The following is a 14461-nucleotide window of genomic DNA, read 5'->3' as shown; positions in this document are numbered from 1 at the left end:
CACTCTTGGCCTCGAGTGATCCACCCGCCTCAGCCTCCCAATGTGCTGGCATTACACGCATGAGCCGCCACCATGAACAGTCACCAATCAGAATATGTTTAAATCTACCTATGACCTGGAAGCCGCTCTCCTCCTTCCAGTTGTCCTGCTCTTCCAGATAGAACTAATATAAACCTTACACGTATTGGTTGATGTATTATGTCTCCCTAAAATGTATAAAAGCGAGCTGTACCTCGACCACCTTTGTACATGTCGCCAGGACCTCCTGTGGCTGTGTCTTGGGTGTGGCCTTAACCATGACAAAATAAACTTTCTAAATTGAGACTTGTCTCAGATACTCTTTGGTTTACACTACAGATGATCAGAAAAGAAAAACACAAGTAACCTAACCTAAAAATAGATCGGGCTTGAACAGAAACATAGGCTTCACAAAAGAGATCACACCCATAGTTAATAAGCATTTGGAAAGGTGTTCACCATCATTACTCACCAGGCAAATGCAGATTATTAGGTTGAAACATACGAAATTGCCGGCCGGCGCGGTGGCTCATGCCTGTAATCCCAGCACCTTGGGAGGCCGAGGTGGGTGGATCACCTGAGGTCAGGAGTTTGAGACCAGCCTGGCCAACATGGTGAAACTCCGTCTCTACTAAAAATACAAATACAAAATTAGCTGGGCATGGTGGCGTGGGCCTGTAGTCTCAGCTACTCGGGAGGCTGAGGCAGAAGAATGGCTTGAGCCCGGGAGGTGGAGGTTGCAGTGAGCCGAGATCGAGTCATTGCACTCCAGCCTGGGCAAAAAGAGCGAAACTGCATCGCAAAAATAAATAAAAGAAATAAATAAATAGCCAATAAAGGACAGGCGCAGTGGCTCACGCCTGTAATCCCAGCACTTTGGGAGGCCCAGGCAGGCGGATCACCTGAGGTCAGGTGTTCGCGACCAACCTGGCCAGCATGATGAAACTCTTGTTCCTACTAAAAATACAAAAATCAGTTGGGTGTGGTGGTGGACGCCTGTAGTCGCAGCTACTCGGGAGGCGGAGGCAGGAGAATCACTTGAACCCAGGAGGCGGAGATTGCAGTGAGCCGAGATCGCGCCACTGCACTCCATCCTCGGCGACACAGCGAGACTCTGTGAAAAAAGAAAGAAAAGGGGCGGGGCGCAGTGGCTCACGCCTGTAATCCCAGCACTTTGGAAGGCCGAGGCGGGTGGATCACGAGGTCGGGAGATCGAGACCATCCTGGCTAACACGGTGAAACCCCGTCTCTACTAAAAATACAAAAAATTAGCCGGGCATGGTGGTGGGCGCCTGTAGTCCCAGCTACTCGGGAGGCTGAGGCAGGAGAATGGCGCGAACCCAAGAGGCGGAGCTTGCAGTGAGCCGAGATCGCGCCACTGCACTCCAGCTTGGGCGAAAGAGCAAGACACCGTCTCAAAAAAATAAATAAATAAAAAAGAAAGAAAGAAAGAAAAAAAGAGAGAAAGAGAGAGAGAGAGAGAAGGAATTGCCAATAAGCCCCAAAGTGGCCCATTAACAGCAATATCACATGAATCAACCTAAACAAGAACAGTGAGATACCACTACACACTCCAGAATGCTAAAATTAAAACAGACAGAACGCCAAGTGCTGGTAAGAACGCGGAACAACTGGAATTCTCCCACATTGCTGGCAGAAAAATAAAATGGTACTTTGGAAAGCCATTTGGTAGTGTCCACTAAGGCTAAACATGCGCCTACCATCCGCCAAGTCCACTAAGATACAAACGGGACATTCAACCTGAGTAGCAGACAAAGGCGTCATAGGGACATACTAACTAGAACGGCCTCGTGCAGGGACCTGTTTAACTGTTCTCCGCGAGCCGCATAAAGAGGTATGCAGTCAGCGCTCAGTATTTATTTCCAGGGAGCGGAGACACTAGGACCGCGGTAGAAAGCGTTGCTCAGGCAGCGCCCGCGGCGTAACTCGGTCACCCCTAGCTCTGACCTGCCGAGCGGGGAGTGAAGCGATTTGTCATAGAAAGAATTGAGCATCCTGCAGATTAACTCCTTTCTTGCAGCTTCCTTCCCCTGCCAGGCCCATTTCTGGGGTTCAGAGAACCCCGATATCTCTGCGCGAAGAAGGCCTCGCAGGCGCAGTCCCCCACCAGGCCACCAGTCGCTATGCGCGGGGTGCGTCGGGGTCCCGGCGCCGAGGGCCAGGCGGGGCTGGCGACACCCAGGTGCGGTGGAAGTCGGTCCCCTCCGCTCGCGCCTCCTCCCCGCCTCTGCTGCGCTCTTCCCCGGGATTCCGAGGGAGCGTCGCGGGGAGGGGACGCTGAGTGCTCGTCCCGGGGCCGGGGAAAGCCCCCACCGCGCGGCCAGTTCCACCTCGCAGCTCCTCCGGGAACAGTAAAGGGGATTCCGCGGCTGTGGGTAACGCCACCAGCGCTCTGAACTAGGAGCGGGGGTGGGAGTGCGGGGAGGCGGGAAGGAAACCGGTGCCGGCCAGAGCCGCGGAGCTTTCCAGGCCGAATCTCCGCAAGGGGAGGGCGCGGGGCTCACGCCTGGAATCCTGGCACTTTGGGTGGCCGAGGCGGGAGGATCTCTTGAGCCCAGGAGTTCGAGACTAGCCTGGCCAACATGGCGAGACCCCATCTTTACAAAAAATACAAAAAAATTAGCCGGGCGTGGTGGTGGGCGCCTGTAGTCCCAGCTACTCAGGAGGCTGAGGCAGGAGAATGGCGTGAACCCGGGAGGCGGAGCTTGCAGTGAGCGGAGATCGCGCCACTGCACTCCAGCCTGGGCGACAAGAGAGAGACTCTGTCTCAATAAATAAATAAGTAATAAAATAAAATAAAATAAAATAAAGTAAATCTTAGTGCCCCCTTCTCAACCTAACCCCCAGTCCGACCCGCAGCACACATCCCGGACACAGAACGCCCGTACTTTCCCGAGGGTCTTCCAAGCCCTGGTTCAGCCCGGACCGTGAGTTCCGGAGCGTCCGCGCCCCCTTCCGCCCTCCCGCACCCTCAGTCCCGCCTCAGGGCCCCGAAGCCGCCCTGGGCGCGCAGCGCATCCCCAGGCGACTGGAGCCCCAGCCCCGACGCTTCGTCGCCGCAGTCCAGGAGACCGCAGGAGAAGGGGCTCGTGGGGCGGAGACAGCCTGCCGGGGCCTCTGCAGCCCGGGAGCCTCCTTTGGACTCGCCGAACCCGACTCCCAACCCGCCCTTACCACTGCCCAGAGGCTCGCGCGCTGGGTTTCTGAGCCTCCCACCCTGAAGGACACCGATCTCGCCCGGACATAACTCAGCAACTGCCTGGTCTGGGCTCCGGACTGCACCGAGCCCGTTACCTGCAGGAGCTCGCGGAGTCCTTTCGGCGCGCGTGGCGCGGGCGCGGTCCTCACCGCGGTGCCGGGAACTGAGTGCTGCGGCCGGTCAGAGGCCTCGTCCTCCGGGGCTTCTCCCTGCCTAGGCGCTACACCCAGGCGCCTCCAACTGGGTCCTGGTCGCAGCCTCCGCAAGAGTGCTGCTTCCAGAAGCCCCACCGTGCAGGCCTCAGTGTGAATTGGTTCAGTTCAGCAAACTTTTCTTTTAAAAAATCACCAGGTACTCAGCCATAAAAAGGAACAAAATCTTGACCTTAGCCGCAACATGGATGCAGCTAGAGGCCATGTCCTAAGCCAATTAGCACCAGGAACAGAAAACCAGATCCTGCATGTTCTCACTTGTAAGTCTGAGCTGAAGATTGGGAACCTGTGGACACACAGATGGGAACAATGAGCACTTGGGCGCCAAAAGTGGCAAGCGGGGGAGGGGGCCAACAGCTGAAAAACGACCTATCGGGTACCATGTTCACTATTTGGTTAATGGGTTCAATAAAAGCCCAAACCTCAGCATCATGCGATATACCCAGGTAACAAACCTGCACATGTATCTCGGAATCTAAAATTAGAAAAAAAAAATCGGCTGGGCGCGGTGGTTCACCCCTGTAATTCCAGCACTTTGGGAGACTGCAAATTGCGAGGTCAGGAGTTCGAGACCAGCCTGGTCAACATGGTGAAACCCTGTCTCTACTGAAAATACAAAAAAAATTAGCCGGGTGTGGTGGCGGGGGCCTGTGGACCCAGCTACTTGGGAGGCTGAGGCAGGAGAATAGCTTGAATCCTGGAGGTAAAGGTTGCACTGAGCCGAGATCGTGCCCCTGCACTCCAGCCGGGCGACAGAGTGAGACTCTGTAAAAAAAAAAAAAAAAAAAAAAAAAAAAAAAAAAAATCAGGCATTGGACTTGGCACCAGTGCTGGTGGGAGGAAATAGACCTTCATCTCGGTCTGCATTCCTTTGAAGTGTTACTTTCCTGCTTGAAGGCCTGTAGGGTGTCTCCCTATTTTCTACAGAATGTGTCCTATTTCCTCCGTCCTGCTGCTCACATTCTATTTTTTATTTTATTATTATTTTTTTTTTTTTTTGAGAGGGAGTCTTGCTCTGTCGCCCAGGCTGGAGTGCAGCGGCACGATCTCGGCTCACTGCAACCTCCGCCTCCAGAGTTCAAGCGATTCTCCTGCCTTAGCTTCCAGAGTAGCTGGGATTACAGGGACCCGCCACCACGCCCAGCTAATTTTTGTATTTTTAGTAGAGACGAGGCTTTGCCATGGTGGTCAGGCTGGTCTCGAACTCCTGACCTCAGGTGATCTGCCCACCTCGGCCTCCCAAAGTGTTGGGATTACAGGCGTGAGCCACCGTGCCTGGCCCCACCTCATTTTAATGGTAAAACACCACCACAAAGTGAACATGCGATATATGTTATATGTATGTATGTTGCCAAGACCAGCTCGGTCGGGGAGACCCTAACCCAGCGGCGCTAGAGGAATTAAAGACACACATACAGAAATATAGAGGTGTGAAGTGGGAAATCAGGGGTCTCACAGCCTTCAGAGCTGAGAGCCCCGAACAGAGATTTACCCACGTATTTATTAACAGCAAGCCAGTCATTAGCATTGTTTCTATAGATATTAAATTAACTAAAAGTATCCCTTATGGGAAAAGAAGGGATGGGCCCAATTAAAGGAATAGGTTGGGCTAATTAACTGTAGCAGGAGCATGTCCTTAAGGCAGAGATCGCTCATGCTATTGTTTGTGGCTTAAGAATGCCTTTAAGCGGTTTTCTGCCCTGGGCGGGCCAGGTGTTCCTTGCCCTCATTCCCCTAAACCCACAACCTTCCAGCCTGGGCTTTATGGCCATCATGAACATGCCACAGTGCTGCAGAGATTTTGTTTATGGCCAGTTTTGGGGCCAGTTTATGGCCAGATTTTGGGGGGACTGCTCCCAACATATGTGCACTGTGTATGTGCTCAGCACCCCTTATAAACATGTATAGCTTTTACCCCAAGTTTGCTGAATATCTCTGACTCTATTGTGTGATACAGACCCTGTAAGGCATAAAACCCAGCCTGCCCTTTCCCTCTTCAAAGAGAGAGCGCCTTCTGTCCATGCTGGAGACCATCTCTTCCCATTTTGCAAACTGATATCCCAATAAAGCTCTCCTTTCTACTCTTTAGCCACCTTGATGGTCTTTTGGACACCACCACTCAGACCCAGGTGTTAGACCTTGGAGGGCAGCAACTACATCTTAGTCACTGCAGTGTACACAAGCAGATCATCTGAGTGTTTGCTGTTTACCAAAGTGACTTTGCTTTAATGTGCTGAAGATACAAAGAGACAAAACCCATACAAACTAGCTGGGCTTAAACTCCCTCTGTAGGCTGGGTGCAGTGGCTGACGCTTGTAATTCCAGCCCTTTGGGAGGCCAAGGAGGGAGGACTGCTGGAGGCCAGGAATTTGATACTGCAATGAACTGTGTTCGTGCCACGGCACTCCAGCTTGGGCGACAGAGCAAAACCCTGTCTCCAAAACAATAACAACAAAATTATCTCTCTACACAACCAGAATAATGAAATGGGCATTTATAATTACCCAATCAATTTGATCCCTGTATGAAGCCTATTGGAATGATTTAAACCCGTGAAATAATCTTCCAGGGCCGCAGTGCTGAGATGGGTCTGTCTGCACTGACCACATTAACCGATTTCACACGCGGGCATGTTGTCCTTTGTGTTGCGTTGTCACCACACAGAAGCCTGTCTGTGGATGGCTCTCCTACCCTTGCAAGAAGTGGAAGCCAACTATTTCAGCTCCTTTCAAACCACAGATATGATTCTTCAGTGAACTGCAGTCTTGCCCTTTATTAAAATGTGGTAATCCACATTTTTAACACTTTATAATTGTAAGGGTCTCTCACTTACTTTATTACGTGTCATGTCATACTCACAAGTTACTCCATGAGGCAAGTTATCTTTGTTTTACACAGATGTGAACTGAAGTCCAGAGAAGGTCATACAGCTAGTAGGCACAGGGCTCCTGGTCCCTTATTTAATGTCCCCTCCCATACCTGGGGTAATATAGATAGTCCTATAAAGGATTATCCATTTAGCCATCAAAATATACACAAATGCTATTCTACATGTTATACGTGGCATATTTTTAGGTGCAGAATTTAAAGGACTGCAGGACTTGGAAGACAGGAGATTCTGTTGGAATTATTTTTCTTTTGCACAGTTTTAAATATACATCACAGTATGTCATAGTTCCATTTTAAAAGTGATGAAGATAATTTAGAGGTGATAGCTTACCCAAAGCCTGCCAAGCCTCACTTTTGGAATCAGTTCCCAGAAACAACTTTTGGATGTATGTCTTAATTACACACACACACACACACACACACACAAACACACACACGTTAAACTATATGGAAATGATGATACTTGACTGAATTTGGCCTATAAAACTACACTTTCATCTCGTTAAACATAATAGAAATATTAGTTATTTGAGTTTACAGTCTCAGCCAGTTTTTTTGCCTGCACCTTTGTGGAGCTATCACTGTGGTCCTAAGAATCCTTTTGTGACAGGAGCAATACCCCGGGTGATATAAGAATCCTTCTCCTTCTGTGTGTCTCCTTCCCAAGAGCTGACATGACTCTCGCTTAGTAGGAGGCCCATGGCAGCTACACAAGGTTACAGGCACCTACTGCCTGCAGAGATGACACCTCATGCTTACTGTAGCGATGAAGCTATCTTCCCAATGGAATTTGTTTATATATTTTGTAACCTGAAACCAAATAAGGCTTTAGGATGATGAGATCTCTCCCACTCTCCCTATCCCCTCTCCACACACGCATCATAGTTTGCCCCAGTTGCTGATGATATATGGTAGTGATCAACGCAGGGTCCTTTCAAGTGATCCTTCGAGTGGAACTAATAGCGTACATCTCCGACGCATTTACCTTGTATTTTTCTCTCTAAGCAGCAAAGTGAAAGTTCATAAAACATTTCATTGTTCAGTCCCACAATTGTGTTACTAATGATGAAGTTGATAAAACATAAATATCCTTTCTGTCCCTCAGGGTACTGTTTAGCATTAGCCAATTATGCCTCTACCGCTTGGTAGCTTAAGTCGCTTAAGACCTTGAGGAAGCTACTTCCCTTTGCTGAATTTCAGTTTCCTAGTCTATGTAAAATCTGAGCAACTATGAAGTACCTCTCAGGATCTTGTGTGTAATTAATGTCTGTAAAATGCAGGCTCTGGGTAAAGATTCATTCCGTCTTTCCTTTTTTCTTTCATATGTATCTGACATGCGGCCAGTGGTACCTATAACCTGCTCAGCGTGCATGTATTTAGTCTCCGAGCAAAACCTCAGTAGTTAGTGAAGTACTTTCATATTCAGCTATAAAAAGAAGGTAGGACTGGTAGTAACCTTATTTTTGTCATGAGGAAACTGAGAACAGAGATGGTAAATAACTTGCACAAGGATAAAATGGACAAAATAGATAAAACATTACCCCTGTTCAGAAGCACAGTAAACAGATGCACCAAATCATGTATTTTCAATGTGATTACACAGTATCTAGTAGGGTTCTATAAACCAATTATAGAGAAGAGATTCTGTCTATATTTGTACAGTAACCACTTGAGACGCCTTGTGGTTAAGATGTTTTGATCATTATCTAGATGAGTGGCTACTAGGAAACCTGAAGCTGAACAGAGCTTCATTTTTACTTAACAGTGGATGAAGGAAAGGGAAGGGGAGAAGGACACTTATATTTCGGTTGAGCACTGACTGTCTACCAGAACATGTGCCACATTCCACAGGCTACATCTTTAAAGGGTCATAGTTGGATGAGGTCAGCATCTTCATTTTACAGATGAGGAAGCTGAAGCTCAGGAAAGTTAAGTAACTTGCCTCAAATCATTCCATCCATAAGAAACTCATATCTTGGCACTCTTAATGCAATTTTTTTTGGAGAGAGTAACAATTTGCAGATGACTTGGAAGATAATTTTATCAAGACCCTCATTCATTCTGTTTGTCCCGGTTATTCCACTAATGTAAGGTTATCGTTTTTTTGTTTGTTTGTTTGTTTTGTTTTGAGATGGAGTCTTGCTCTGTTGCCCAGGCTGGAGTGCAGTGGCGCGATCTCGGCTCACTGCAGCCTCCACTTCCTGGGTTCAAGCAATTCTCCTGCCTCAGCCTCTGGAGTAGCTGGGACTACAGGCGCGCGCTGTCACACCTGGCTAAGTTTTGTATTTTTAGTAGAGATGGGGTTTCACCATGTTGACCAGGATGGTCTCGACCACTTGACTTCATGATCCACCCACCTCGGCCTCCTAAAGTTCTGGGATTACAGGCGTGAGCCACTGCACCCAGCCTAGGTTATCTTAAGAAAATAGTTCAAAATACAGGGAAAATTTTATTGCATAAAATTCTTCCTGAGAGAGTTGATCATCATTGAGAGAAATTGGAAAGAACCTAATAGCCAACATGAGGGCAATGGCTAAGTAAACAATAAATTGTAAAACTTTCAGATGAGCAAATATTACACAGCCAGTGAAAATATTGTTTCCAAAAAAGCTTGTAATAACATGAGAAAATGTTACTGTAAAAAGGCTAAGTGAGAATAAAAAGATATTAGGACAGATATGATGATACATGTATAATCTATATTATACATATAGATTATATATATAGGCTTCCAGGGAGGCCTCAGGAAACTTCCAATCATGGCAGAAGGCAAAGGGGGAGCAGGCGCATCACATGGTGAGAACGAGACCAAGAGACAGCGAGCGTGCCGGGAGATGCCTCACACTTTTCAATGGCCAGATCTCATGAGAACTCACTCATCTCGAGCACAGCGCCAACGGGAATCTGCTAAACCACTCAAGAGAAATCCGCCCCCATGACCCAATCATCTCCCACCGGGCCCCACCTCCAACACTGGGGATTACAATTCAACATGATATTTGGAGGGGGCCATATTCAAACTGTATCAACACCCTGCGTCAAAGCACTGATCATCCTGTACTTAGCTGTTCCAGCTAGGCCAAACGCCTTGCTCACACAGACCATATCTTAATCGACTGTGAATCCCCAGTGTTTGGGGAGTGTTCTATTCTCAATAAATGTTTAGCAAACTTACCAAGTAATTAAACTGGAGGCAGGAGGAGAGGATGAAGGGAAGATGGAAAAGGGGTGAAGGCAATATTGTGTTTTTTATTTTTATTTTTGTTTTGAGACAGAGTCTTGCTCTGTTGCCCAGTCTGAAGTACAGTGGCGCAATCTCGGCTCACTGCAACCTCCGCTTCCTGGGTTCAAGTGATTCTCCTGTCTCGGTCTCCCGAGTAGCTGGGATTATAGGTATGCACCACCACACCAGGCTAATTTTTTTTTTTTTTTTTTGTATTTTTAGTAGAGATGGAGTTTCACCATGTTGGTCAGGCTGGTCTTGAAATCCTGACCTCAGGTGATCCACTGGCCTCGGCCTCCCAAAGTGCTGGCATTACGGTGTGAGCCACTGCACCTGGCTGGTAATATTGTTTATATGAGGGAAACAACACACAATCACATCAAAGTGGACAGTGCTGGCCTTTCCTTTTTTTTTTAAATCATCATATCTCATTTTCGGACTCTTTAATTCTTGCAGAGATGTGCTTTTCACGGTGTTGTCTAAATTCCTGAGAAGATAGATCAGTCCCAAGCAGCATCCCCAACTCCTGCTCAGGCCAATCATCTCCATGGGGCCCCGTGGCTGCTACAAGCCATTTACGCCCCGCTGAGTCAGGGCTGTGAAGCTGGGAGATCTCTGAAGAAGGGTTCAGCTGGCAGGACAGGTACCTGAGGAATTAGGAATGCTTTCCTGCTGTCGTTCTTTCTTTTCATTGCTACAATCTGATTTCTACCATGAAACAACACAAAATCCAGCCCTGCCATACAGGCAAGCAAGATTATGATCTGTTTCTGTCTCTCTCTCCCTTCCTTTTTCCCTTTTCCCCGCCCCTACATACACCCACATACACACTGTGGAAGTGAGAATAAAAAATTAGAGATAACTCTAAATTTCACGCTTTATTTGGGAAGAAAGAATTGCAACTCAGGGCATACAGGCAGACTAAGTGGTTTTTGGTATGTCTAAAGAATGTAAAGGAGGTTGGGGATTTTATGGAAAAAAAAAAAGGGCATGTTCTGTGTGGTCCTGGAGAAAGTTCTTTGGTTTTAGCAAAGCTCTGGGGGCTGGCCAGCTCCATTTGGTGGGTGACTGTGGTGGCCAAAATTAGTCCTAGAGTTGTAGCTGCTGAGGCGACAGATAAAACTGGTCTCAGGCTACAATAGGCAGTTTCAGCCACTAGACTTGCAGAGAATTTTATTTCAAGAGCAATGTCACATGTCCTGAGTGCTCTTTCCCCCCAGCCCTCCACTCTATTTTGGTTGGGTGGATAAGAATGACTCAGCTTGTATGACCAATTTCCACAACACAGAGTATGTTTATGAAGAAGTTACTTTTAGACTGATAGCCCTAGTTTCAAAGTCACTGTCTTCATTATTATTTTTTAACTTATTCCTTATTTTCTTCCACATCAACTTGAAGAAAACTGTAAAATTCGAAACCACATTTTTAAACTTTAAAACTTAATATCTGGCTGGGTGCGGTGGCTCATGCCTATAATCCCAGCACTTTCGGAGGCTGAGGCTGGTGGATCACTTGAGGTCAGGAGTTTGAGACCAGCCTGGCCAACATGGTGAAACCCTGTCTCCACCAAAAAAAAAAAAAAAACAAACAAAAAAAAAAATACAAAAATTAGCCAGGTGTGTTGGTGTGGGCCGTAGTTCCAGCTACTCCAGAGGCTGAAGTAGGAGAATCGCTTGAACCCAGGAGGTGAAGGTTGCTGTGAGCCGAGATCATGCCACTGTACTCCAGCCTGGGTGACAGAGTGGGACCCTGTTTCAAAAAACAACAAAAAAAAAGCAAAAACAAAACAACAACAACAAACTTAATATCTGAGCTAAAAAGGGTAAACGTTTTGGGAAGGGATCTGGTTACTGTGTTTCCTGGAATACAACTCTGTTCTATTTGCAAATCTGTTCTGTTTGCAAATCCCTTTTCCTTTTCCCTATATTCTTAATTTCTTATAGGCTGAAACTCCAAGCCAAGAGCACAATAAAGTTTGAAGAGTTCTATGCAGCAGTTTGGGGACAGGAACCCGTTCCCTCGGAATTCTTGCTGGGTTTGACCCTTTTAACAGAAGGCGGGGACACTGATGGCAGCCTCGCAGATCCATATAAACCTCAACGGAGAAGCCCAAACAAGGGAGACACCTTTCTGCTTTTGACCTAACGAGTAAATCACTGCATGTCTTTTTCAAAAAAAGGAATTGCAGGCTGATTCTGAATGTCCAGCAGCTTCTGTTGGAACTCATAGGGCTAAATGTCTTTCACAGACGGCTTTTATCTCAGACACGGCTATAGGCGTGACTTATTGGTTATTTCCCCTCTGCCTTCACACTGATAAATAATAAAATTCTAACAATCAAAATGAACATGTTTTATTAGCAAAAGAAAAAGCCAATGGGAGTCTATATACAGTACAGATATATCTGTAGTGAAACATATTTCACATTTTAGCCAATCCATTGTTCTTTTTATTGAAAACAGGTTCCTGGATCTCATACCATGGAATAGCTCAGTAGATGAAAGAACGATATTGAGGCTAGAATTTTAAAAAAGACCTCTCCAAGCCTTGATTAAGAAAGAGGGAGATTCAGTGGAAGGGGAAAGTAGCTAAGAACATTAGTTATTAATTACAAGGATAACAGGCCGGGCGTGGTGGCTCACGCCTGTAATCCCAGCACTTTGGGAGGCTGAGGCAGGCAGGTCACCTGAGGTCAAGAGTGTGAGACCAGCTCGGTCAACATGGTGAAACCCTGTCTCTACCAAAAATACAAAAATTAGCCAGGCGTGGTGGCACATGTCTATAATTCCAGCTACTCGGGAGGCTGAGGCATGAGAATTGCTTAAACCCAGGAAGCGGAGGTTGCAGTGAGCTGAGATCGTGCCACTGCACTCCAGCCTTGGTGACACAGTGAGACTCTGTTTCAAAAAACAAAACAAACAAACAAAAAAAACAAAAATTACAAAGGTGACAAAGTCAGGCCCAAACATATTCTGTCTGGGCCTGACTCAGAGAATCAGCCTGTGAAATCACACAGCCCAGAGGGCCAGGACCTGTCCCTGTAATTTCCTACTAAGAGCAAAGCATGAGCAGTTGATGTATTTCACCATAATTACGCATGCAAGAGTATATGTGGTGTGCATACAATGAGAATATTTTTTTCAAATCCAAACTCAGGACACATGGTCTGACAAAGGAGTTCTAAAGAATTTTTCATTTTTAACATAATAAAACAGACAAATCTATTATGTGTGTGTATATATATCTGTATACATATATATAAATAAATATATTTCATACGGCATACCATTGCCAAGTGTTTGGTAGAACTTGGGAAAACTTCTGAGGCTGAATCTGGGCTCAACAAGAAGAATGCTGTGTTGAATAGTGTTGTCTGATAGGCACCCAGGAGGAGAAATCGGCAGCCCACATAGCTCACATTTGCCATCGCTAGACAAGGAACTTGTCAGTGTCATAAAACACATATTAAACCACATTACATATGAAACCACATGTATCATTTCCATTAATGGTATGGTGAGAACGGAATAGGTGTTCTCAATAGAGATGCAACTCTTAAAAAATTGGGAGTAGAAGATCACAATGAATCATCAAAAAATGCAGAGGTTTCAGGTAAAAACTAAACAGATGAGGCAAGCCACACATGTTTATTCTTTGACATTATAAAGTATGTGTACATCATAAAAAAATCACCTTTCTTAATAAAACAAAGTCAGAATTTTCAAGGTGAACGCTAAAAAGAGAATCTCCCAGGTGAGGCAGAGAAGCCAGGCTGAGAAGTTCTCCCTCTGTTCCCCTGAGAGTCACTTCAGCTTTGGCTTCTCATCGACCCTTGCGGCTACCTCCACACCCACCATGGGAGGCTTCCCCAGCTGTGGCCTAAGGGCCCTCCTGGGAGACTCCAAGGCGCAGCTGAGACAAAGCTGAGGGTTCAAAAAGACCTTACCAAAGGCTGATGGATTACAAAGAAGAAATAAAAAGCTAGACCATAATTTGAGGATACCTCAAATTAAGTGAACCCCTAGATGTTCATGGACTCCAGGTTAAAAAAATCTGATATGCATAGGTATATTTTAGATTTATATGCAAAGTGATTTAAATCTTTATTTCCCAAAGTAAAATAATACTTTATGCAAAGGGTCAAACCTACTTCTTGCCAAAAAATTACCTTTTTGGGATTTTTATATGATTTTAAAGTAAGTAAACATTTGGTCTTTTCCCTCTTCAGTTTTATCTATAGACCATGCTAAAAAACAAAACAAAACAAAACAAAAAACCAAGAACAGAGGAACAAGAAGAGCTACTTGATGTAAAGAAGTGACTGAAAGAAAAGTTCAGAGAAGAATTTAGGAATTTGAGAGAACTTGAAAAACATGATCCAGAAAAAAAGAGGCAAAAAGTAAATGTATTTTAAGAATTATACTTGGCCCACATTCCATTGTTTTACATTTGAGGATTTTTCAGATTAAAAAACATATATTTATTATAGACAAATTGGAACCTATAGAAAAATATAATCAAGAAAATGTAAATCACCTAATAATGTCATCACTCAGATCAACACTATTATTATGTTGGTTAACAAATTTTTAAATATAAATAAAACAAAATTTGTGATCATCCTCAATTATTATTATTTTGTTAATGTTGTTATCATTATGTCATGAACATTTCAACAGATCATTAATTAGATTTTTGACATGAATTTTAATATCCACCTAAGATTTTATCAAATGGATATATTATAATTTAACAATTCCCCCAAACTGGTAAATTATTACCAGTTATTCACTATTATATTTACTATGTTTAAGACTTTAATGGATATACTTAAATATTTATTCATTTATTTCCTTCAGGCAAAACATAATTGTGACTATCTTTAGGAATATTTTTAAA

General features: G+C 45.3%; 5 annotated features.

The window, feature by feature from the left end:
* Window positions 1639-2182: an enhancer, noted in NCBI's record as "H3K27ac-H3K4me1 hESC enhancer chr4:186049861-186050404 (GRCh37/hg19 assembly coordinates)". NCBI's record gives its function as "activates a minimal SCP1, AML or CMV promoter by ChIP-STARR-seq in naive H9 embryonic stem cells {active_cell/tissue: H9 hESC(naive)}" and the evidence as "EXISTENCE:reporter gene assay evidence [ECO:0000049][PMID:30033119]".
* Window positions 1639-2253: a biological region, named in NCBI's record as "H3K27ac-H3K4me1 hESC enhancer GRCh37_chr4:186049861-186050404".
* Window positions 2154-2253: a silencer, noted in NCBI's record as "silent region_15846". NCBI's record gives its function as "represses an Ori minimal core promoter by ATAC-STARR-seq in GM12878 lymphoblastoid cells {active_cell/tissue: GM12878}" and the evidence as "EXISTENCE:reporter gene assay evidence [ECO:0000049][PMID:35858748]".
* Window positions 7693-7812: an enhancer, noted in NCBI's record as "active region_22247". NCBI's record gives its function as "activates an Ori minimal core promoter by ATAC-STARR-seq in GM12878 lymphoblastoid cells {active_cell/tissue: GM12878}" and the evidence as "EXISTENCE:reporter gene assay evidence [ECO:0000049][PMID:35858748]".
* Window positions 7913-7972: an enhancer, noted in NCBI's record as "active region_22246". NCBI's record gives its function as "activates an Ori minimal core promoter by ATAC-STARR-seq in GM12878 lymphoblastoid cells {active_cell/tissue: GM12878}" and the evidence as "EXISTENCE:reporter gene assay evidence [ECO:0000049][PMID:35858748]".

Source organism: Homo sapiens, chromosome 4, assembly GCF_000001405.40.
Source record: "Homo sapiens chromosome 4, GRCh38.p14 Primary Assembly".
NCBI lineage: Eukaryota > Metazoa > Chordata > Mammalia > Primates > Hominidae > Homo > Homo sapiens.
This window is presented reverse-complemented; position numbering and strand designations above follow the sequence as displayed.